The following is a 21,513-nucleotide window of genomic DNA, read 5'->3' as shown; positions in this document are numbered from 1 at the left end:
TATGTAACAGGAGAACCACCCAGCCAAAGTCTTTCAGAATTCCTAGTTCACAGAACCAGAGGAAATAATAAATCATTATGTTTTAAGCTCCAACATGATGAAGTGATTTTTTTATACAGCTATCGATAAGCAAACACAGGGTTTATAAGAGAAATAAAAGAAAACTGCATTCTGGAAGTAGTAAATTTTGTTTGTATGCTTTTGGTATAACCTTATTAGCTGGCATTTAGCAAAAAGGTCAGTCTAAGAATTCTGTACTTCAGTAGGCTTTCTAGGGATATCGAAGAAAACATTTTAGTTGTTTATTCTTAAGAAAACTCTGAGAGTTTACCTATGGGACATAATTGCAAAATGTCTGTCGGTGTCCTTTGTTAGCATCTTTGACTTTGTTAGTTCAGGTTTGCGCCATTTCCTTTATCAGAATTTTATTAAAGACAACTTTGAGACTGGGAAAAGACCTGAGTCTTTTCTGACTATGAGTGGGCCTAGAGGATACAAACACTCTCCGCTGCCCCATATTTCTCCCCTTGTTTAAAAACAGCAGCAGTGGCATCATTCTCTCCAGCTCTTCAGTCAGCAATTATGGCTGCCCAAACATGGAATGCCCTAAGGTGGCTCAGGACATTGATAGGGAACTGGGGCCATGGCCTTGGAAATGCAAGCTGCTGAGTGAGGCCAAGTGGTCTATGGAAATCACGATCTCCCTGCATGGTGGGATTACAAAGGTGACCAAGAAACACAGACAGAAACAGAAGAAAATGGAATTAAGAGTTGAAATACCCACAGAACAGAATCATGGAATGTAAAACAAGTAAACTTTATTTGGGAGATGGGGTGAATCCATCACTGGTTACTGGAACCCTGAGTCTGCATTTTCTCCTCAGGAAGGCGGTCTGAAATGGAGTGGGCTGTGTTTGGCAAGGGTTGTAGTGGTTTGGAATCTGAGTAAATGAGCAGAATCAGAGAAACAGAATTAGTTTTCTGACTGTGGTACTTCTCACACCAACCCAGAACCTGTCCATGTGTCCTCTTCACTCTACGTTCTCCATTGTCCCTATCCTCTGGGGTGTCCTCCATTTTCTCCCTCACCTCTCACCTGCTTGGCTCCCGAGCTGGGCCTCAGGCCTGTCTCCCCAGAGTAAATGCCCGGGATCATTGAGGAAGCGTTGGCTGCGCTGGCATGTTAGGCAGGTCTGTACGGTCCAGCGCTGTCCCCTGCAGCCTAGGGTGAACATGGGAAAAAGACTGTCCACGTTTAGAAGTAACGGTCTCTTGCTGCCAGTTTTGCCTCCAGTGTTTTTCAGTAGGTATCCCCGCTCCCCCACCACACCCCCAATTTGAATGCACATTTGATGGTGTCAGGCCTCGGCATAAGCTCCATCGATTTCCTGGAACTCTTTAAGATAAAGTTCAAACTCCCTAACAAGACTTCAAGAACTGGCCTGTTTCCCCCTCCAGTCTCATGTTTTGCCCTCCTACCTCAAACTCCAGCCTCCTGAACTCTCATTTCTTTGACAGCACCACAAGCTCTCTTGTCTCAGAGTCTGCACACATGCCTAGAATTTCCATCTCTCACTCCCTTTGCTTATCATAAACTTCGCCACCACTGGCATGAGTAAGTGAGCATTCTACTCCCCCAGTTAATCTTTTTCTACACCATTTTGTTTCTTAGTCTGTCCCATCAGACCGTAATTTCAATGAGAATAATGAATCTAGCACAGTACCTGACACATTTTAGAAAATAAGTATTTGCTTAATAAATGAATGGTGATGGGAATCGTCCTCCACAAAGCCGAACAACATCTATTATTGTGCATGGGTGGGGTTGCCTCTTAAAAGTTATTATTTATTGCCCACACTGGAAGAAAAAAAAAAAAAACAGCCGAGCCCAAACCCTAGTTTGTGCAAGTGGCGTTAGGAACTTAATCCAAACCCGAAGAAGGAAGACTCCTGCGAATCCCACACCCAACATCCATCTACAGTGAGAAAGGCGCTGTTGGCCTCCAGTGCCCGCCCCCCACCCCGCCCCCCTCCGCGCCCCCAATGCTCCGCAGTCTTCCACCTCCGTTGGAGCACTCACGTCTCTGGCGCTGGGTGCAGGTGAGGCCCGGGACGAGGAGGGAAGAGCAGCCTCGACAGAGAGTCCTCTTCACCGAGGGATCCCTGGGGGCGGAGGAGGATAGTGGTCTGGCGCCCGCGCTCCCTCTCGCGTTCCTCCCGCGTCCCGCCCGCCGCCCGCCCCGTGGCTGTCTCACCGCCGCAAGACGAGCCGCTTCGCAATGGTCCTCTCAGTGTAGCAGTAAAACCTCGCCAGCGCCTGGTTCTCGGGGTCCTGGGCAAGGACACAATGGGCGGCCTGCGGGAGGGGAGCAGTCACTCTGGGACGCCGAGCACCGTCCCCGTGGGGCCCTTGTCGCAGACTCACCTGGTACAGGAAGTTGAGCCTCTGGAAGGCCTCGCGGTCCTTCACCGGCCCCGCCATCACCGCCGCGCTCCAGGGCCTCCCGCAGCCCCACCCCTCGCACAGCCCCGCCCGGGCGTCCGCGCGAGGCCTCCTGGGAAACGTAGTCCCCGCGCCCTCGGGAGCCTCCCGGAGGCCTCACAAACTCATCGGTTTCTAAACACAACCCCAGCAATCCATGCCCAGGGTCCCTTTATGAATTTTCAGTGCTTTTGTCTTCCTCAAGCTCATGACCAATTATATCACCTAGAGACCTAGTGGAGCAGGTGAGGATCTTAAATCGGCCATTTTCAGGACAGAAGGCTGGTCTCTTTATGTAGCTACGTTGGGGAGATGGTTATGTGCAATTTATACCCAGCTAGAGCTTCTGCCCTACTCTCCTGAGGTCCGAGGCAGATGCCTGTAAGATCTACAGACGGAAGGCACAGAGGTAATACATTAAAAAAAAGCACTGGTGCCAGTGGGGGTGAAAGTGGGAAGGATCATGAGGGTGCTGGAGGGAGGGAAAAGGACTCCCGGTCCTCAGAAAGCACAGTTTACTCCTACTATTCCACCTACCAAAGAAACACACTTCCTGTTATGCAGTGCTGGACACACAGTAGGTGATCCTCACTTTCTGAGTGAATGGTTTCTAACTCCTAGGCTTAGGTACAGCACAGAAATCTGTCAACAGCATCCCCTGCCCCTGAAACTTCACCCCACTCCCCACACTGACATTCACCTCACACCCCTCCCTCTGACCTCTTCTATCTTCCAGTTCTTCTGTCTGGTGTCCTGTGACTCATAGTGACTATCAGTTACTGAAGTCAGAAGCAGAGGGACATGAATTGGAGGGGTAGAAGATCAATGAACCCTGAGATGGGGAGGGCAGCATAAGTCAGGAGAGGATGACTTCTCTCCAATTTCAGACCCAGTGCCAGGCGGGGACAGACAAGCAGGGCTCCAGCTGGGAGGAAGGACATGGCTGAAACCTCCTCTGGAACTAGTTTCACAAGGGTTTTCGGACTCAAATGAGAGTGGTGTGTTTAAAATGTAGATGTAGGCTGGGCACGGTGGCTCACACCTGTAATCCTAGCACTTTGAGTGGCTGAGGCAGGTAGATTACTTGAGTTCAGGAGTTCGAGACCAGCCTGTCCAACATGGCAAAACCCTGTCTCCACTAAAATTAGCCGGGTGTGGTGGTGCATGGCTATAGTCCATAGTAATCCCAGCTACTCTGGAGGCTGAGGCAGGAGAATTGCTTGAACCTGGGAGGCGGAGGTTGCAGTGAGCTGAGATCACCACTGTACTCCAGCCTGGGCGACAGAACGAGACTCTGTCTCATAAATAAAATGTAGATGTCCGGCCCACCCCAGACCTTGACTAACCACTAAGGGTGAGACCCAGGAACATGCATGTCTAACACCCAGTGATTCTTACACATCAGTACAAGGCTGTCACCAAATTACCACACAACACAGAGATCACTTCAGTGGATCCTTTGTTCCATATTATTTTAACCAACCAAAGTATCTTGCCACAAAGAACCACAGTCAAGGCACAAAGGTAAGAGGAGGAGAGTCTGGACAAAGTCCTGTTGAGGTGGTAGGAGGAACTGAAATGCCCTCAGTAAACTGCAGATTCTTCTCTCAGTCATTTCTGTGAAGATTACCCGAATAGCAGATAATCCAAATTGGTTTAGTTTGGTTTGGCATGCATCACTTTTACCTTTTATGACAACATATGTACCCTATAAGTTGTTTATTTTGGCCTAACATGAAAATCATTTACATTCTCTGAAAAGGGAAATGGCAAAGGGTGAGGGATGGCAACAAACAAGCAAAAGCCTGGCTTAACACCAGTTCCAGGCCAGATGCACACAAGCCAAATGAAGTTGCCTATCTGGCCCTTCCCTATATACCACCCTCTTCCACCCTGTCCTTAGGGTGAGAAAGACTCCATAACCTTTTTTCCTTTCTGGCTTGGACACCTTGGCCAGGTAAGAAGGCTGACAATTTGGGAGTAGCTACTAAGTAACATTCTTTAAGGCCAGGGCTTTGTATACAAATACCCTTCTCTTTCCTCTAATACCTGACTCTCCTTTCCAAGTTCCCTTGGGAACACTGTGAAAGGATAGATGTGTCTTGCAGGATCTCTTCCACTTTGCCTCTGGAGAGGAGCAAGGTGACTGACTTATTGGTATAGAGGCAGGCAATAAGCCAACTCTGCTGAAGGCTGAGGCAGGGACCTGGGTTCTCCTCTGCTTTCTTTTCAGCCTCTCCTTCTCCCCACATTCCTACCTCTGGCCAATCTTACCCATAATCGCAACCTTACCCTTGGAATAGAAGACCAAAGAAACCTCCCTCCTCTTCATTAATCTCTAGGAATCTGTTCCTTTAGCCCACTTCCCTGACCCTTCTAGCCTTGTTGATGTCCAATCTCTGCCCTCAGAAAAACTCCTCAATATCTAGACCCATGAGAGCATCTGTCATTCATCTCTCATGAATTCAGAGGTACACAGACCCCTGTGATCTACCTCAAGAAGCAAGACTATCCTGGGTCAAAGAACCCCCTAAAAAGATGTGCAGGGGTTTCTGTTTCCTCCTCTGGTTTGAGCAAGTCAGACCCTCACAGATTTTTTGTTTCTGGAAAAGCCTCTCCTTCCTTCCTGACCCGTCCTTGTGCAACAGAAAACCTGATGGACTTCAGGGTAGACAATCCTCTGGGAACCAGCTCCCCACCCTGACAGTTAGGAGGAAGTCACAGCTGTGCTCTCTCATCCAGCCCAGTCCTACCTCCCCCTCCACACAAAACCATCCTAGAAACCAAGGTGTTTCTCCAAGATGATTCAGGACTGGACCCAGGTGGACACGAAGACGTTCCAGCAGGACACGGGAAGGAGGCCCGTAGCACTTGACCCTGCCTCACCCCAGTCATTCCCACATCCCAACCTGTCACTCCCAATCTGTTGGGGGCCTGATGGTAAGTGGTGCAGCATTCTTCCGTCCAGCCCGGATGCCTGGGTAGAAGAGGGGCCAAAGTTTCTCAGTAAAAGTATCAGTGAAGGTGTAGATATGAGAGCGGTCTGTGACATTGTAGAAAGACAGTGTGCCGGCCTCATAGTCTAGGAATATGCCTACCCGCTTGGGTTTCACCTTGATGTGCAAAGGGGTAAAAGGTGTGGTGGTGGCTGCATATTTGTCCCCATTCCATAGCCGCACCCGCCAGTAGCCAGTCTCAGGGAGTGGAGTCAACTCGCCCTTTCGGCTCACGGAGTCCCGGCATACACCCACTGCCCAGTGGGTCTTGTCGCCCACCTCCACCTCCCAGTAGTGTCGACCTGAGGTGAAACCCTCAGTAGCCAGGACGCAAGGGTAGAAGGTGAAACGCCTTGGTGTGTCAGGGAGATCCCGGAGTCTTGTCTCCACGAACTTGACGCTCTTACGATCCTCTGACAGGACTAGGTTAGGATGAGCTGTCTCAGGGTCCAGGGTCACATCCGCTGGCGGGAGAAGCCAGAGTGGGGAGCTAGATGAGGATGGGAATAGCTAAATGCCCCTGCCTCACTCTTCCAGCCTGCCTTTACAGAGCCTGGTCCCTTAAAGGTCCCCAGAACAACCTGGTTTGGTTAACTTTCTCAATCCATGGTGTCACCTAAGGAAGGGGAGAAAGCAATGGCTCACTTCTCACCCTGACCCTAAAGTAAACAGATAATAATCTCTTGAGTCTGCAGTGGCTGGTAATCTAGGTTCCCGCCTGGTCCTCTCTTCATCTCCCTCTGACATTATCATTTATCTCACTATGTAGAGAAGTACAAGGTGTAGTCTGAGGGGCAGAAAAAAACGGAAAGTGTTAAGAAGGATGCCGAGCAAGACAGCATATGGTCTAGGGATAGGGTGACCATGTGTGTTTTCCAGGAACTGGCCTGGTTTATGACTATTTTCCCTGCATATTCACATTAATATAATGACACTCCCTTTCAGTTTCTTTCTTTTTTTTTTTTTTTGAGATGGAATCTCACTCTGTCCCTCAGGCTGGAGTGCAGTGGTGTGATCTCAGCTCACTGCAACCTCCGCTTCCCAGGTTCAAGCAGTTCTCCTGCCTCAGCCTCCAGAGGAGCTGGGATTACAGGCGCCCAACACCACATCTGGCTAATTTTTATATTTTTAGTAGAGATGGGGTTTCACCGTGTTGGCCAGGCTGATGTCGAACTCCTGACCTCAAGTGATCCACCAGCCTTGGCCTCCCAAAGTGCTAGGATTACAGATGTGAGCCACCGCACCCGGCCTTTGAAGGTTATGCAAGTTTACATGGTAAATTATATAACCACTCTACCCGATGACTTTGGCAAATTATTTAACCTTTCTGGGTCTCTATTTAGAAAAGAATGGACCTAAGAGTAGATAACGCTTAAGGCTTCCTCTCACTCCAAGTTCTGTGACTCAGGGTGAGACTAAAAGCCAGATAAAGGGGTAGGTGTGTGTGGGAGTAAGAAAAGTGAGACATAGGATAACTGAAACCCATATAAGGTAGGACCTAAAAACTTTCTTCTCTCTAGTGGTTTCTTCTAGTTTCCTTTTGGGAACAACTCACCAATTAGCTGTTTAAGGATTTTCCTTAGGGCAAAGTACTGTCGGGGAAAATTGCTGAAGTTCTTTTCCAGCTCTATGGATACTGAAGTCACCTCCATGGTCTTCACCTTTTCACATCTAGGAGGGATAGGGAGATAGGGGAAGAAAGGGCAGGGTTAGGGAGAAGCTCCAGCCAAGTGACTATTCAGATGTTAACATTTTTAGGGAGAAATTAAAATTCTCCATCTTCCCACTTTCTTCCTCCTCCCTGAAAAGCTCACCTGTTGATTTCTTTTACTAATCCAAGGAGAGCCTTATGATCCCGTGGACAGATCGTTGAGAGTGAGCCTCCGAACTTTCTAGGAATATTCCTGTATTTCATGCAAATGGATGATTGCCCTCCCTGCTCTCCCAACCCCTTCCTCCTGCCATCTTGTTTGGACACAATTCCACCCACTGGCACAAGTAGAATCTGATTCTACCTTATCATTCTCCTTCTCAAGAAGTCCTGATGTTCAAAGGGGAAAAGGGATTATTATTCCCAATAATTTGTTCTCTAACTGGCTTCATGGGCACAATGAACATTCTCCCATACCCTGCCCAGACACACTACATGACTTTCCCAACCTCACCCCCAACCCAAACTCCTGACTGTACCCCTCCTCTCTAAGCCAAGACCTAACTCACTCAGAGAGATACAACAATCACTTACTTTTCCAGGGTACTTTTGACATCCTAGAAGGAAGGAGAAAAGAAAGCAATATTGGTCCTGGTATTCAGTGGTCCTGAAGGCAAAAGGTTCCCCCTCCTCCCCAAAGTTCCACAGCTATAAAATAGGGATAGGATAAACTGAGGGTCACACAGTGCAAGAAGAGCTCCAGCGGGACCTGAATGCACTTCTCCCAACCTAATCCCTACTTTCAACTTCTGGTCATCATGAAGCTTGGTCATTTATATCACTTCCCAATGATTTCTTTTATGCTTGTCTTTGCTCCTCAAGGATGCTGGGAGCTCCCTATAAGGGACAGGGATTGTATCAATTCTTTACTCTGTCCCCCAAGTACCAACCACATATCTCACTCTCCTTGAGGATAAGTACAGAGAGTTCCAGACTGGTGGCATAGGAACAAATCACACATTCCTGTTACGGTTTGGTATCCCCTGTCTTGCATTAGTTAATAAACATCAATAACTGGCTGGGCACAGTAGCTCACGCCTGTAATCTGAGCGCTTTGGGAGGCCAAGACGGGTGGATCACTTGAGGTCAGGAGTTCAAGACCAGCCTAGCCAACATGGTGAAACCCTGTCTTTACTAAAAATACAAAAATTAGCCAGGTGTGGTGGTGTGCGCCTGTAACCCCAGCTACTCAGGAGGCTGAGGCAGGAGAATCGCTTGAACACAGGAGGCAAAGGTTGCAGTGAGCCGAGATCATGCACTGCACTCCAGCCTGGGCGACAGAGCAAGACTCTCTCAGAAAAAAAAAAAAGGAAGAATAAACACATTAATAACTGTGTGCTAATACTGATTTGTGAATACTTGGGGTCCAGAAGACAAAGAAGACAAATCTCTGTCCCACAAGGATTTCCCAGTTTAATATGGAAGGCAGAACACACATACATGAAAGGCCATAGGAACAAATACCAAGCAATACGTAACATAAAAATAAATGTACAATGAAGCCTCACTGCTTCAAATGCTGGTAATCTAATCTCTAAGATAAAAAATATGTTCCCTAGTTTTGCTAACACCATTCATTTACGTAAGAGAACAAAATATTTCAAACACTTTAGAGGTATTATTAATATATACATATCAAAAGCAATATATTATTTAAACAATTTCAGGCATACCTCATTTTATTGCACCTCGCTTTATTGTGTTTTGTTGACATTGTATGTTTTTCAGATAGATGGTTTGTGGCAACCTGTGTTGAGCAAGTCTACTGGCACCATGTTTTCCAACAGCATGTGTTCACTTCATGTCTCTGTGTCACATTTTGGTAATTCTCACAATATTTCACACTTTTTCATTATTATATCTAGTATGATCTGTGATCAGTGATCTTTGATGTTACTATTGTAATCGTTATGGGGGCACTGTGAACTGCATCCATATAAGACGAACAACTTAATCGATAAATATATTTTATGTGTTCTAACTGATCCACTACCAGCTATTCCCTCATCTTTCTCCATCTCCTCTGGCCTCCCTATTCCGAGACACAACGATATTAAAATTATATCAATTAATAATCCTGCAATGGCCTCTAAGTGTTCATGTGAAAGAAGAATCACATGTCTCTCACTTTAAATCAAAACCTAAAAATGTTTAAGCTTAGTGAGAAAGGCACATTGAAAGCCAAGATGGGCTGAAAGCTAGGCCTCTTGTGCCAAACACCAAGCCAGGCTGTGAATGCTAAGGAAAAGTTATTGAAGAAAATTAAAAGTGCTACTCCAGTGAACACATGAATGATAAGAAAGTGAAACAGCTTTATTGCTGAGATGGAGAAAATTTTAGTGATCTGGATATAAGATCACATGATTCCCTTAAGCCAAAGCCCAATCCAGAGCAAGGCTGTTAACTCCTTCAGTTCTATGAAAGCTGAGAGAGGTAAGGAAGCTGCAGAAGAAAAGTTTAAAGTTAGGTAGGTTGTTTTAAGAAAAGAAGCCATCTCTGTAACAAAAATGTGCAAGGAGAAGCAGCAAGTGCTGATGCAGAAGTTGCAGCAAGTTATCCAGAAGATCTTGCCAAGATTACTGATGAAGGTGGCTACACTAAACAACACATTTTCAATGTCAACAAACAGCCTTCTATTGAAGAAGGTGCTATCCAGGGCTTTCACAGTTCGAGAGAAGTCAATGCCTGGCTTTAAAGCTTCAAAGGACAGGATGACTTTCTTATTAGAAGCAAGGGCAGCTGGTGACTTTAAGTTGAAACCAGTGCTCACTTACCATTTCAAAAATCCTAGGGCTCTTAAGAATTATGCTAAATCTACTTTCCTTGTGCTCTAGAAATGGAATAACAAAGCCTACATGACAGTACACCTGTATACAGCATGGTATACTGAATGTTTTTAATTAAAAAAAATTACCTTTTGTAGAGATGGGGTCCTGCTATATTGCCCAGACTGGTCTTGAATTCCTGGCCTTAAGCAGTCCTCCTGGCTTGATCTCTCAGAGTGCTGGGATTACAGATGTGAGCCAACGTGCCTAGCCTTTACTGAAGTTTTTTTTGGGGGGATGGAGTTTCACTCTTGTCACCCAGGCAGGAGTGCAACTGCATGATCTTGGCTCACTGCAACCTCTGCCTCTCGGGTTCAAGCGATTCTCCTCCCTCAGCCTCCCGAGTAGCTGGGATTACAGGCGCCCACCACCATGCCCAGCTAATTTTTTTGTATTTTTAGTAGAGATTGGGCTTCACCATGTTGGCCAGGCTGGTCTCAAACTCCTGACCTCAGGTGATCCACCTGCCTTGGCCTCCCAAAGTGATAGGATTACAGGTGTAAGCCACCGTGCCCAACCCTTTACTGAAAATTTTAAGTTGAGACCTACTGCTCAGAAAAAAAGATTCCTTTCAAAATATTACTGCTCACTGACAATGCACTTGATCACCCAAAAGTTCTGATAGAGATGTAAAATGAGATTCATGTTGTTTTCACGTCCGCTAACACAACATCCAATCGGCAGCCCATGGATCAAGAAGTAATTTGGACTTTCAAGTCTTAATAAATGTATTTCATAAAGCTGCTATAAATAGTGATTTTTCTGATAGATCTAGGCAAAGTAAATTGAAGGCTTTCTGGTAAGGATTCACCATTCTAGATGCCATTAAGAACATTTGTGATTTGTGAAAGGAAGCCAAAATATCAATATTAACAGGCATTTAGAAGAAGTCTATTCCAACCCTTATGGATGACTTTTAGGGGTTCAAGACTCCCATGTTGTAAGTAACTGCAAATGTGGGTTTTCAAAGATTTTCAAAGAAGTTCTACTGGTGAGTAAAATGCTATTAAACAGCATCACATGCTCAGAGATATCTTTCATAAAAGGAAGAGTTGAAAGTAAACTTCGTCGTTGTCTTATTTTAAGAAATTACCACAGTCACCCCAATCTTCAGCAACCACCACCTCGATCAGTCAATACTAACACAAGACCCTCCACCAGCAAAAATATGATTCCACTAGGAAACCCAACAATTAATGTGACTTGCTTTATCAAGATACTCGCTTTATTGAAGTGGTATGGAACTGAACCCACAATATCTCTGAGGTATGCCTGTATCCTTTAAACTATGTTTCTGTCCTTTTTCAGCAGTACATAAATCAAATTTCAGGACTTAAAAGTAATGGTAACTGCATTTACAAAATTTTTAATGCATAGTTTTTCACTAACTCAGGCTAGACTTCCCTCCTTTCAAAAGAATGAATCTTTTCTTTGGAACAGATTAAGCACATAATTGCTGACCAGAGATAAGAACACAAAAATGGTTAGAAGGGGATGGGAGAAATCACTTTTCCGTAGCAAAGACCCTTTGAGTACACCTGGCAGAAAGAACTGGATTTAGAGAAGGAGAGCAGAAGAATGAGTATCCCAGGCTGACAAATCCCAGGCTACGCAAAGCTACGCTGCACTCAGCCTGAGGGGCTATGCAGGGGCAAAGGTCGAACCTTAAGCATCTCGAAGCCTGACTGTAAGCACTTGCCCTCCACCTCGGCAGCCAAGTGGGCCAGGTCCCGGCGCTTGTCCCCAAGGTGAGCAGCATTTTCTCGGAGTCGCTGCAGAATGTCCTGTTCCTCTTCTTCCAGTCGTGAAAGCAACACCTGCTGCTCTTCATCCAGCCGCCTATGAAGCTCTTCAAACTCCCTCAAGATCTGCTGTCGGCGACTTTCCACTAGTCTCTGAGAAGAGAGGGAAGATGTTGTATCAGCAGGGTCAGTGTGGTATAAGGAAGCCTTTCTCTCACCCACCATATGTATGAATTAACACAGACTTCCAGTTTCATTGAAAATGGTTTAACAAAGGCTGGGTGTGGTGACACATGACTGTAATCCCAGGACTTTGGGAGGCCGAGGGAGGTGGATTGCTTGGGATGAGAAGTTTGAGACCAGCCTAGGTAACATGGTGAAACCCCAACTCTACAAAAAATACAAAAAATTAGCTGAGTCTGGTGGTGCATGCCTGTAGTCCCAGCTACTGGAGAGGCTGAGGTGGGATGATGGCTTGAGCAAAGAAGGCAGAGGTTGGAGTAAGCTGAAATTGTTGCACCATTGCACTCCAGCTTGGGCAACAGATCGAGATGAAAGACAGACAGACAGGAAAGAAAGACAGAAAGACAAAGACAGAAAGAAAAGAAAGAAAGAAAATGAGAGAAAATGGTTTAACAGAACACTCATTTTTTATTCCATTGGAATTTCCTTCTGTAAAGAATGGCTCCATCACTATCACCCCCCTACTGATGACTTGGTAGTGAAGACCACTGCGGATATATATATTTGTTTTAATTTAAGATAAAGAACTCAATAATATGATGACATTAACTATTACAGATATCAGAGATATCTGTGTTATTATCAACTGTAAAGTTCTAGTTAATTCAATCTGTCGAGAAAAGGAAAGTATAGGCTCAGCATGGTGGCTCATGCCTGTAAACTTAGTGCTTAGGAGGCCCAGGTGAGAGGATCACTTGAGGCCAAGACCAACCTAGGAAACATAGTGAGACCTTGTTTCAACTAAAAAGAAAAAAAAATTAGTCGGGCATGGCAATGCACATCTGCAGTCCTAGCTACTCAAAAAGAATCAAGAGGATGGATGGCCTGAACACTGGAGTTTGAGTTAGTGTGCTGTGATCACTACTGCCCTCCAGCCTGGGTGAGTGAGATTCTGTCTCAAAACAAGCAAACAAAAAACAACGAAACAAAAAGGAAAGTACAAATAATAAAAAGTTAAAAATAAGATTGTCATCCTTTGCATATTGCAACACATGCACCAGATAAAAACCAGAGAACTGGGAAAGTGTAAGAATCAGTAAGAGTTATATGGGTTATTATAAAATATACATATGTAGATTTCAGGGCTGAACTTGTTAAATTGTTTCAAGTCACTTCAGAGAACTGGCAATTCCTACCCCAGGAACAGGTTACAGAAGTTTGTTAGTAATTTAGTTTCTTGAAATTTGAAACATGCTTTCTTTAAGCCAGCACACAGACTTAAGCCTCTAACATTCCTGAAATTTGATAATATAGGACTCAAACACCAGCCATAACACTTTCTGAGAATTATCAGCACATCCTCTCTTCTGCATCTCCACTACAACAAATAGTGATCTCCCTAAAGAATTCCCCAAGCATCATGTGACTGATGATGAAGCAAAGTGAGAAGCAGAGACTGGGACTCTAGAAGGAAGTGGATAGGGAATGAAAGGCAGGCTTGAGGGTGGAGAGAGAGTGGGGATGCAAAGCCAGGATGGGCCTGACAAGCGTGGCATTTGTGGATTCAAGCTAGTTCCTGGCAGAGGCTGACTAGCTCTTCTAGTTTAGGGCCACTTGCTGCTTCACTTTCCACCACTGCCTTCTCAGTGTACATCTGAACAAAATATATTCTCACATTTGCCCTCAATAAAACACAGCCTTTGTGTGTGTGTGTTTGCACATGTGTGTGCATGCATGTGTGTTTGTTTAGGTATGGGTGTAAGTTTAACATTCATGACTGTGATAAATAGGAAGCAAAAAGGCCCTTCCTCTTATAAACCGGTAATCTTTTCTCTTTTTTTCACTCTATATTTTAGGGCAGTGGTTCTTGATGAAGCTGTTAACACACTCTGAGGATATTTTGGAAATAGGCACATCTTCTTGTTTTCCATGGTTGGGGAAGTTCCTGACAATGACGCAAGCACTCCTCCAATGTGTGAGACAATCCGGCATAGTGAACTGACCTGCAACATTTTCTAATGTTCTGCTGGATATTCAAAAACACAGGCCTGGGCGGCCAGGCACGGTGGCTCACGCCTGTAATCCCAGCACTTTGGGAGGCCGAGGTGGGCAGATCACAAGGTCAGGAGATCGAGACCATCCTGGATAACACGGTGAAACCCTGTCTCTACTAAAAATAGAAAAAAAAAATCAGCTGGGTGTGGTGGTGGGCGCCTGTAGTCCCAGGTACTTGGGAGGCTGAGGCAGGAGAATGGCATGAACCCGGGAGGCAGAGCTTGCAGTGAGCCGAGATGGCACCACTGCACTCCAGCCTGGATGACAGAGCGAGACGCCGTCTCAAAAAAAAAAAAAAAAAAAAAACCACAAAAACAAAAACATAGGCCTGGGCTTGAATGCCATTTTATATAGTATAAACACAGAGTAATTCTTACATGGTTTTACTATACGTGAATTTTTCAGCAATAGCTGAATAAAACCCAAGATTATATTGTTATACTTAGAACTTTACCAAAAGTTATTACTATGAAAAATCATATCACCAAGAGCTAAGCTACTTATGGTATTTCAATCATATTGGCACACATCCATCTCAGTCTGAATTTGTATTTATGGCGTTGCTGATAATGACACATATAGGGGCAAGCATATAACCAGCTACACTGTAAAGTCGTTCAGGGTAGTCATGCCCAAATATTACATACCACATTTTATCATCAATTATGTTTCATTATATTATATTTGGACATGATAGACTCTTTAAAATTTAACATTATGCACATAGGTTATATTACCTGTAATTTTCAGTTCAGCATAATTACAAATTATTTTTTAAAGGGGCATTGAGTCTGATGAGGGAGAAGGAGGGAGAATTCAAATGGTCACAAGAGGAATGTTGGTGGTAGTTTTGGAGACCACTGAAATGACAATTTACAGTTTAAAAAACAGGACAGTTCTGTTCAAGCATTTAGAAGGTTTTAAAAAGGTATATTTCTCTCTCCATCCTTTACCTTCAAGAAGGTGATCAACATGAAGAAGAAAGTTAATGACTAGCAATAAGCACCATTTTCATATTTTTAGGTTTCTTGGAAGGCCTCTAAAAGAACAAAAAACTTTAAAAGTTCACATTTCTAACCAAAATTGGTTCAAATTTTAAAATTTCAAATGCTTACTTTGCTAAAATGTATAAGGCACTAAGGTAATAATACTTGCTTTCTGATGAAATGTTATCATTCATTTAAAAATTCATGTTTCTATGAATCAAAACTTGGATTTAGCTTCTGGTGATCTCTACATGTCAACTCTTAAAAACTCATTACTTCTTCGGGAAACCTTTAATGAGGCCAAATTTCTATGTTGTCTTCTTATGAACTTGCAGCTGTGCATTTTGTGCCATTACTTATTTTCTCCACTTAACTTTAAGCTCAAGGAGGGCAGGAACTGTGTTTTTGCTCATCATTGTTCCCCAGTGTCAAATACCGGGTTTGGCCTAAACCAGGAGCTTAACAAATATTTACTGATTCACGAAGAACTAGTATTCCTGGTTTTGCCACTTACTGGCTTTATGATCTTGGACTAGTCACTTACCCAAGGTCCATTTCCTTCTGTGTAAGCTGAAGGTAATAATACCTACCTTAAAGAATATCTAGGTTTACCCCTACATCTTACTAAAGATGGCCTCAGGATTTCCTTCTGTCTCTTTCTCGTAGCTTTTCTATGTCTCACTTATCCCAATTTGGCCTGAACTCTAAGACCCTAACAACCCTATAAATCTGGAATGTTACGGATACCTAATGAATTAATGCATAGGACTCAATTCTAGTTATTTTTGCTACAAATGATAATTGTTCACTGTTCAATGGAAGACAGACAGACACCAAAATACCATGCTACAAATAAGGCAATGCTATAAAAGAGGTGCAAAATTGTATGAAAATTAAGAATGTTAATTTCTGAAGGGTCAGGAAAGGCTGCATAGGAAGTGGCTTTCATCCCGCCTGAGAGATGAATAAGATCCTATGGTGGAGGATGGGGAGGGGGAGAACATTCTAGCATATGTAAGCTTACTTGAGTTTTAAGAATGTGGTCCTAATGTCATTAGATAGTTCTTCTGAGACTCTTGGTCAGCTCCTTTTCCCTTTCTCCCCAGTGAATCTTCCATATTCTCCTCTCTTCAAGTCCTCTAAGAAACTCCCATCCCTGCCTTCTCAGCAGAAAGCCTCCTTTGCTGCTTTAACAAAAAAAGGAGACCAAGAGGCACGAACTCTCTCAGCTCACCAGATGTAAGATATTCTGTCTGTTCTTCATCTCTTAAATCCCTCTTAATACTTAATTCATGACAAGTAATTTAAGTACAATGTTTAATGACAATCAAGCCTAATAAAATGCCATCATTTTTGAGAGAACTACATTGTTCTTTTTTTTTTTGTTTGTTTTTTTTGTTTGTTTGAGACAGAGCCTTGCTCTGTTGCCCAGGCTGGAGTACAATGGTGTGATCTTGGCTCACTGCAACCTCCGCCTCCCAGGTTCAAGCAATTCTCCTGCCTCAGCCGCCCAAGTCGCTGGGACTACAGGCATGTGCCACCATGCCCGGCTAATTTTTTGTTTTTAGTAAAGACAGGGTTTCACCATGTTGCCCAGGGTGGTCTCAAACTCCTGAGCTCAAGCAATCTGCCCACCTTGGCCTCCAGAATTGCTGGGATTACAGGTGTGAGCCACCATGTCCGGCGAGAACTGCATTTTTCTAATGAACCGGAACTGGTGGATTAAATAGTGTACAGTTAATTCCCTCATAGGCAAATACCCTTCAGAGCAGCCTACATGGGATTGCCTGCCTTTACCTTGAGCTCACCAGGCTTCTTCTCCTCAGAGGACTTGCAGCGAGTGATCTCCTGCAGCTTCTGTTCCAGGGGCTCCAGACACTTCTGCAGTTTTTCCTGAGGGGTAGGGAGGAAGTGGGAGAGGTGACATTTGGGGTTGACTGGTATACCTACCATTCAGAGATTAAACCATTTGTTTTAAACCATTTATTTGCTTCCTAGCCATCTTACTGCCTCTTGATCTGACTTCCTTCCTTGCCTGTCATTTGGGATGTCAACTTTCTACAGTCCCTCCTCCTGCCACTAGCCTGTCCACATCACCTTCTCTGCTCACCCAACTGTCCTTTTACTGAATCTGAGATAGCTGTCATCAACTCTGTGTCCTTTCTCAACTCTTTCCATTTTCTTACTGAGGCAACTGCCTATTACCATCCAAGCAACCTTCTGTACCCTAATATCTCTCTTTAAACCTGTCCTCCCATCCACCTCTGTCCACCTACAATAAAAACATGGTTATTATACTGTAAGTTACCTGAAATCTTGTTTTCAAGAGTAACATAACTAAGCAAAGTATATGATAAAATGCTAACACATTCATATCTCTGTTCCCTTTATTCAAACATTTTCCTTTGTCTCAGCAGTAAGTTAAATGATATGCCATGTTACCCATTACCTAGAGAAGCTGCAAACAATTGAATGGTTCAGCTTAGTCCGGTAGGTATCAGTCTCAAGCGATATTACCTATGCCCAATAACCAGTGTGAAAACAAGGAGCATTCTGAGCAGGCAGGCAGAATGAAGAAACCAGACTACTTTTCAGTTCTTCCTAAGTTTAATCTTTTCCATGTGGTTTCATTCATTTATGAAAAATATGACCACACATACCAATATTCACCCATAAGACTCACATGTATTGCAAAAGTCAGAGAGAAATTTTAGGGCACTTCTCACCATTGCTCTTTTTCAGGCTAGAGGACAACTGATCACACATACTGTGTGCCCCTGCATATGCAGCTCTGAGAATACAAAGTGAGTAGTAGGAGCTTACGATCTCTACCTAGGGAGTATCTCATCCTCTGCCGCTTCTCCCTTTTTACCCACACTGACATCGTGTGTCTGCTTCCCCACCTTGTACTCCTGTGTAGCATCGTCCAGTGGCACAACGGTGTGGGCCCGGTGGGTGTGGGAAATTGCACATATCAAGCATACAGCCTCCTGGTCCTCATAACAGAAAAGGCTGAGGGCCTCATGGTGTTGGGGGCAGAGGCTCTCATCCCGGATCTTCCGCTTGACGGCCTGGAGCTGCTTGGCAATTTCCACCATACTGCCTAGTTGCCGATTAGGTCGGAGACTGCGGTAGCGGGATGTCTTTCGACAGACAGGACAAGGGAAGTCCCTCTCTAGGTCCTCCCACCAGCGGGTGATGCAAGCTTTGCAGAAGTTGTGCCCACACTCAATGATGACAGGTTCCTTCAGATACTCCAGGCACACAGAGCAGCTCGCCTCCACCTGTAAGTTCTCCAAAGCCGCAGCTGTAGAGGCTGCAGAGGCCCCAGCCTCTAACAGACTTGTCTCTGCCATAATTTAACTTGGGAGTGGGGAAGAGGACAGAGAAAATAAAAATATTAATTGGAGGTTTTTTCTTTTTTTTTTTTTTGCATCCCTGACCCGACATTTATCCCTATGTTAAGTCCTAACTCCAGATTTGCCCCTTCTTGTTATTCTCCATCTTCTCTTCCAATCAATTCAACCTCTTTGTTTCTCCATTTTCAAAACTTGTGACTCCCAGCCATCAACCTTTTTTTTCTTGTTAGTAAACTGACACACAACCCCCAATTGATCTATCTTGTCTCTTACCTCTGCTTTCTCTTGTTAGAAAGAGAAGCTTCCTTCAACTCTAGCTCAGCATACTTCTCCTGATCCAGGCTCATTCCACTTATATCTTAGAACCAATAGTTCCAGACACTGTATCCTCGTTTGACATACGTTTCTAACAGACAAGAAAGGAATCTGAGAAGTAAAAAAGTCATAAAAATATTAACATTTCTTAAATTAACCATATTTTAAAGTTTAATGTTATAAGAGCTTTATGATTAATCCACTGGAGTCTAAGCTTGATTCTCTGACACTGTTCTCTCATTCTTCTAAATCACAATATCCAACCTTTTGGCTTCCCTGGGCCCACTGGAAGAAGTGTCTTGGGCCAGACATAAAATACATTGACACTAATGACAGCTGATAAGCTTAAAAAAAAAAAAGTCCATGCATAACTTTTGTTCTATCACCACCACAGAAGGTCCATGCATAATTTTTATCAGCCACCACAGATAAGCAAAGAGAGTCCTCATATTGAAAGGGTTAGATACCACTGCTCTAAAGGCTAACAAATGGAATGAATGAGGCAAAGGCAACCTCCTCTTTTCAGGAAAATCTGAAATTATTCTTCCTTTTATCCATCAGACTAGCCTAAAGGAAATCTGCTCTCTTCTTGGAATGACATTTCACGCAACATTCCATTTCTCTTGTGTTCATCTGGACACTCAGAACTGCTGAAAACTGATAAATTATGGCAACCATATTAAATATTGCTGAGCTCAGGCCAACGACTTCTTGAAAAGAGAGCAACGAGTCTATTTGTAGTGACTGGAATCTTTCAATATAGCTATTGATAACTAACACCCTGGGCATAGTGTGTCTCCAACTTATAGGTCCTGGAGTGGTTGCGAATTAAGAGACACAAAAGAGGCAATGAGATCTCCCTCAAGCGCAGCCTCAGAAGAATTGGAAATGCATAGGAGAGATTTATAAAACACAAGGCTGGCCCCCTACTCCATCCTTAAAACATCCATACTTTTAGCCATGGGTAAGTTGATTTAACTATCCCCATAACCTTTTCTCCTCCCGACCCCCATCCTTCTCCAGGGACCTACTGGAAGGAAGGAAATTTGGTAGATCTATGTGCTGAGAGATAAGTGGCCATGTAATGAGGTAGGTTAACAACAATTGTTCCTGTATATATTGTTGGCACACACAAATGTGTTTGATTTGGAGTAGGAACTGATAACTTCTTTGGATTTGAATTTCTTCTGTCAGCAATAGGAGAGAAGTTCAGTCAGATGATTTCTATCTGTGGGAATCCAACTTTGACTTGTGGTGATCCTACCCCTTCCTCAGTCTTTTACAAATTAAGTGGCCTCCTCACCTGAGACGAGTAGAACTGTATGCACAGTAAGGCACCAGGACGGATCTAGACTGGCAAAGAAGTGGTGAGAGAAATGGGGAAAGGGTTAGGGAAGAAGGGAGAGGACTCTCAACTACAGTCATAGTGAGACCTTGAGTGCCTCTGCGTTAGTCCTTCCTCTTCCTCTACTCCTTGTGTCTCAGCTGAAGGGCAAACTTCAGGGACAATCTCATTTTGTTTCTACCACTGTTCAGGGTCCCACCTTGCGACCCTCTCCTGAGAGGTTGTCCACAACTCTGTCCCACCCCCGTTCTCCATCTTCTTCCGCCAGATCTGGGGCTGGGGCATTGGAGAGGGGAAAGAGGAAACGTCGTGGCTGGCAGGGTAGGAAGGGATGCGTGTCCAGGTGAGAAAGAGGTGTGACGTGCAGATGGGATGCCCGCCGCTATGACGCTGCCGAGACCCGCGGTGACTGCGTCAGAGTTTCACCCGGGGAGGTGAGCAGCAGCGGGACGGGGGAACGGCGGGGTAGCCAAGCAACGCCGGACGCGCTGACGTCGCCGGGGCGGCAAAACGTCCGCCCGGGCCCGAGGCGGGCGGAGGCAGCTGTGGTTACGTGCGGGGGGCCGGTGACGCAGTCGCGGGGCGCTGGGACGCGGCTTGCGGAGCCGGCCGGCGAGCGCAGGCCCCAGGCTCGGGCGCGGCGGCGGGACAGCACCTACCTTCCCGGCTTCGGGTCCGGGAGTGCGGGGCGCGGAGCCGCCGGAGCGCTGCCTCCCTCCTTCCTCCTCCCCTCGCCCCCGCCCCGCGGCGCGACACACAATACTCGCCGGAAGCGGAAGCCGCGCCGAGGCTCGTGTCAGTGGAAGCTGGGGTGTCGGCGGGCGGCCGCGGCCGGGTCTAGCGGTGCCTGCGGAAGAAGGAGGAGGAGGGCTGGCGATGAGAAGCAGCAGGGGGAATCAAGGGCAAGAAGGGACCCAGAGGGGCAGGTGGCTGAGATGCTGGCGTCCAGGTGACCCGAGGAATCCTCTGGAGATACAGGCCCGCGCATGCGCGTGCTCGAGCGCTGAAGCCCATTGCCCGCAGGGCGCTGGACTGGCGCCCCGGCCGGCGAGGCTGTCTAGTCCAGGCTCCAGGCCCCGGCTCTGGCCAGGCGCCGCCGCCTCCCGGTGCAGCTGAAAGTCGACGAAGAGGGCGGGGCGGGGGCGGCTTGTGGACTTCCACACTTTTCCTCTCTTCGGGCCAGTCTGGGGAGAGGGTGGCTAGCTGTGGCGGCGGCCAATTACGTGGCGGACCTGCGGGGCTAAGCTGGCACGTCACTTCCGACTAGTGGAGTTTTTAGCCTTTTAACATTCAAGGATTAGGTAAGTTCTCCCCGCGGTAGACTTCAAATACTCTTTGTCCTGCCCCTGCTTGGCGAAATTTACCGAAATTATCTACCTATCCCGCTGGAGTGGGAGCCGGGGGAGAGCTGGAACCGCGTCTCTGCTGCTCACCTTTGTGTCCTTAGCTCCTTCGCATGGGGTCCGACCGCAACACGTGCGCTGGATAAACGCTTGTTAACTGGGTGAGAGCCA

General features: G+C 45.6%; 3 protein-coding genes and 1 long non-coding RNA gene across 13 annotated transcripts in view, besides 2 other annotated features; 1 reads left to right on the top strand and 3 right to left on the bottom strand.

The window, feature by feature from the left end:
• Positions 1 to 795: 795 nt before the first annotated feature.
• On the bottom strand, positions 796 to 18,343 carry TRIM39-RPP21 (TRIM39-RPP21 readthrough). Its single transcript, NM_001199119.1, has 10 exons — positions 17,884 to 18,343; positions 16,778 to 16,873; positions 11,679 to 11,909; positions 7,724 to 7,746; positions 7,034 to 7,149; positions 5,758 to 5,942; positions 2,256 to 2,356; positions 2,081 to 2,163; positions 1,097 to 1,222; positions 796 to 941 (listed from the first exon to the last, which is right to left on the bottom strand). The coding sequence occupies exons 1-10, from the start codon at positions 18,334 to 18,336 to the stop codon at positions 844 to 846; spliced, it is 1,512 nt and encodes a 503-aa protein (NP_001186048.1). The 5' UTR covers positions 18,337 to 18,343; the 3' UTR covers positions 796 to 843.
• RPP21 (ribonuclease P subunit p21) lies at positions 797 to 2,498 on the bottom strand. 3 transcript variants are annotated; one of them, NM_001199120.3, is made up of 5 exons: positions 2,426 to 2,498; positions 2,256 to 2,356; positions 2,081 to 2,187; positions 1,097 to 1,222; positions 797 to 941 (listed from the first exon to the last, which is right to left on the bottom strand). In NM_001199120.3, exons 1-5 carry the CDS (start codon positions 2,480 to 2,482, stop codon positions 844 to 846), a joined length of 489 nt encoding a protein of 162 aa, NP_001186049.1. In that variant the 5' UTR covers positions 2,483 to 2,498; the 3' UTR covers positions 797 to 843. The 3 variants fall into 3 exon arrangements, with proteins under 3 accessions (NP_001186049.1, NP_001186050.1, NP_079115.1); NM_001199121.3 differs by having other exon boundaries at positions 1,090 to 1,222; positions 2,081 to 2,163; NM_024839.4 differs by having other exon boundaries at positions 2,081 to 2,163.
• TRIM39 (tripartite motif containing 39) lies at positions 3,925 to 21,185 on the bottom strand. 5 transcript variants are annotated; one of them, NM_001369523.1, is made up of 9 exons: positions 20,659 to 21,185; positions 19,958 to 20,002; positions 18,613 to 18,765; positions 17,884 to 18,343; positions 16,778 to 16,873; positions 11,679 to 11,909; positions 7,724 to 7,746; positions 7,034 to 7,149; positions 3,925 to 5,942 (listed from the first exon to the last, which is right to left on the bottom strand). In NM_001369523.1, the coding sequence occupies exons 4-9, from the start codon at positions 18,334 to 18,336 to the stop codon at positions 5,395 to 5,397; spliced, it is 1,467 nt and encodes a 488-aa protein (NP_001356452.1). In that variant the 5' UTR covers positions 18,337 to 18,343; positions 18,613 to 18,765; positions 19,958 to 20,002; positions 20,659 to 21,185; the 3' UTR covers positions 3,925 to 5,394. The 5 variants fall into 5 exon arrangements, with proteins under 5 accessions (NP_001356452.1, NP_067076.2, NP_001356451.1 ...); NM_021253.4 differs by lacking the exon at positions 19,958 to 20,002 and adding an exon at positions 7,293 to 7,382; NM_001369522.1 differs by lacking the exon at positions 19,958 to 20,002 and having other exon boundaries at positions 20,767 to 21,185.
• Positions 6,148 to 7,347: an enhancer, noted in NCBI's record as "CDK7 strongly-dependent group 2 enhancer chr6:30308084-30309283 (GRCh37/hg19 assembly coordinates)". NCBI's record gives its function as "activates an origin of replication core promoter dependent on BRD2, BRD4, P300/CBP, MED14 and CDK7 cofactors, with strong dependence on CDK7, by STARR-seq in HCT116 cells {active_cell/tissue: HCT116}" and the evidence as "EXISTENCE:reporter gene assay evidence [ECO:0000049][PMID:35650434]".
• Positions 17,611 to 18,810: an enhancer, noted in NCBI's record as "BRD4-independent group 4 enhancer chr6:30296621-30297820 (GRCh37/hg19 assembly coordinates)". NCBI's record gives its function as "activates an origin of replication core promoter dependent on BRD2, P300/CBP, MED14 and CDK7 cofactors, and independent of BRD4, by STARR-seq in HCT116 cells {active_cell/tissue: HCT116}" and the evidence as "EXISTENCE:reporter gene assay evidence [ECO:0000049][PMID:35650434]".
• HCG18 (HLA complex group 18) overlaps positions 20,498 to 21,513 on the top strand; it is a 39,760-nt gene continuing 38,744 nt past the window's right edge. For 3 of the 4 annotated variants that reach the window (NR_024053.2, NR_102326.1, NR_024052.2), the window contains exon 1: positions 20,498 to 21,300. This is a non-coding gene — a long non-coding RNA (HLA complex group 18). Of the gene's footprint in view, positions 21,504 to 21,513 lie in introns of all 4 variants that reach the window. The other variant, NR_102327.1, reaches the window with a different exon arrangement.

Source organism: Homo sapiens, chromosome 6, assembly GCF_000001405.40.
Source record: "Homo sapiens chromosome 6, GRCh38.p14 Primary Assembly".
Taxonomy (NCBI): domain Eukaryota; kingdom Metazoa; phylum Chordata; class Mammalia; order Primates; family Hominidae; genus Homo; species Homo sapiens.
The sequence above is the reverse complement of the archived record's forward strand: the minus strand, read 5'-3'. Positions and strand labels throughout refer to the sequence as shown.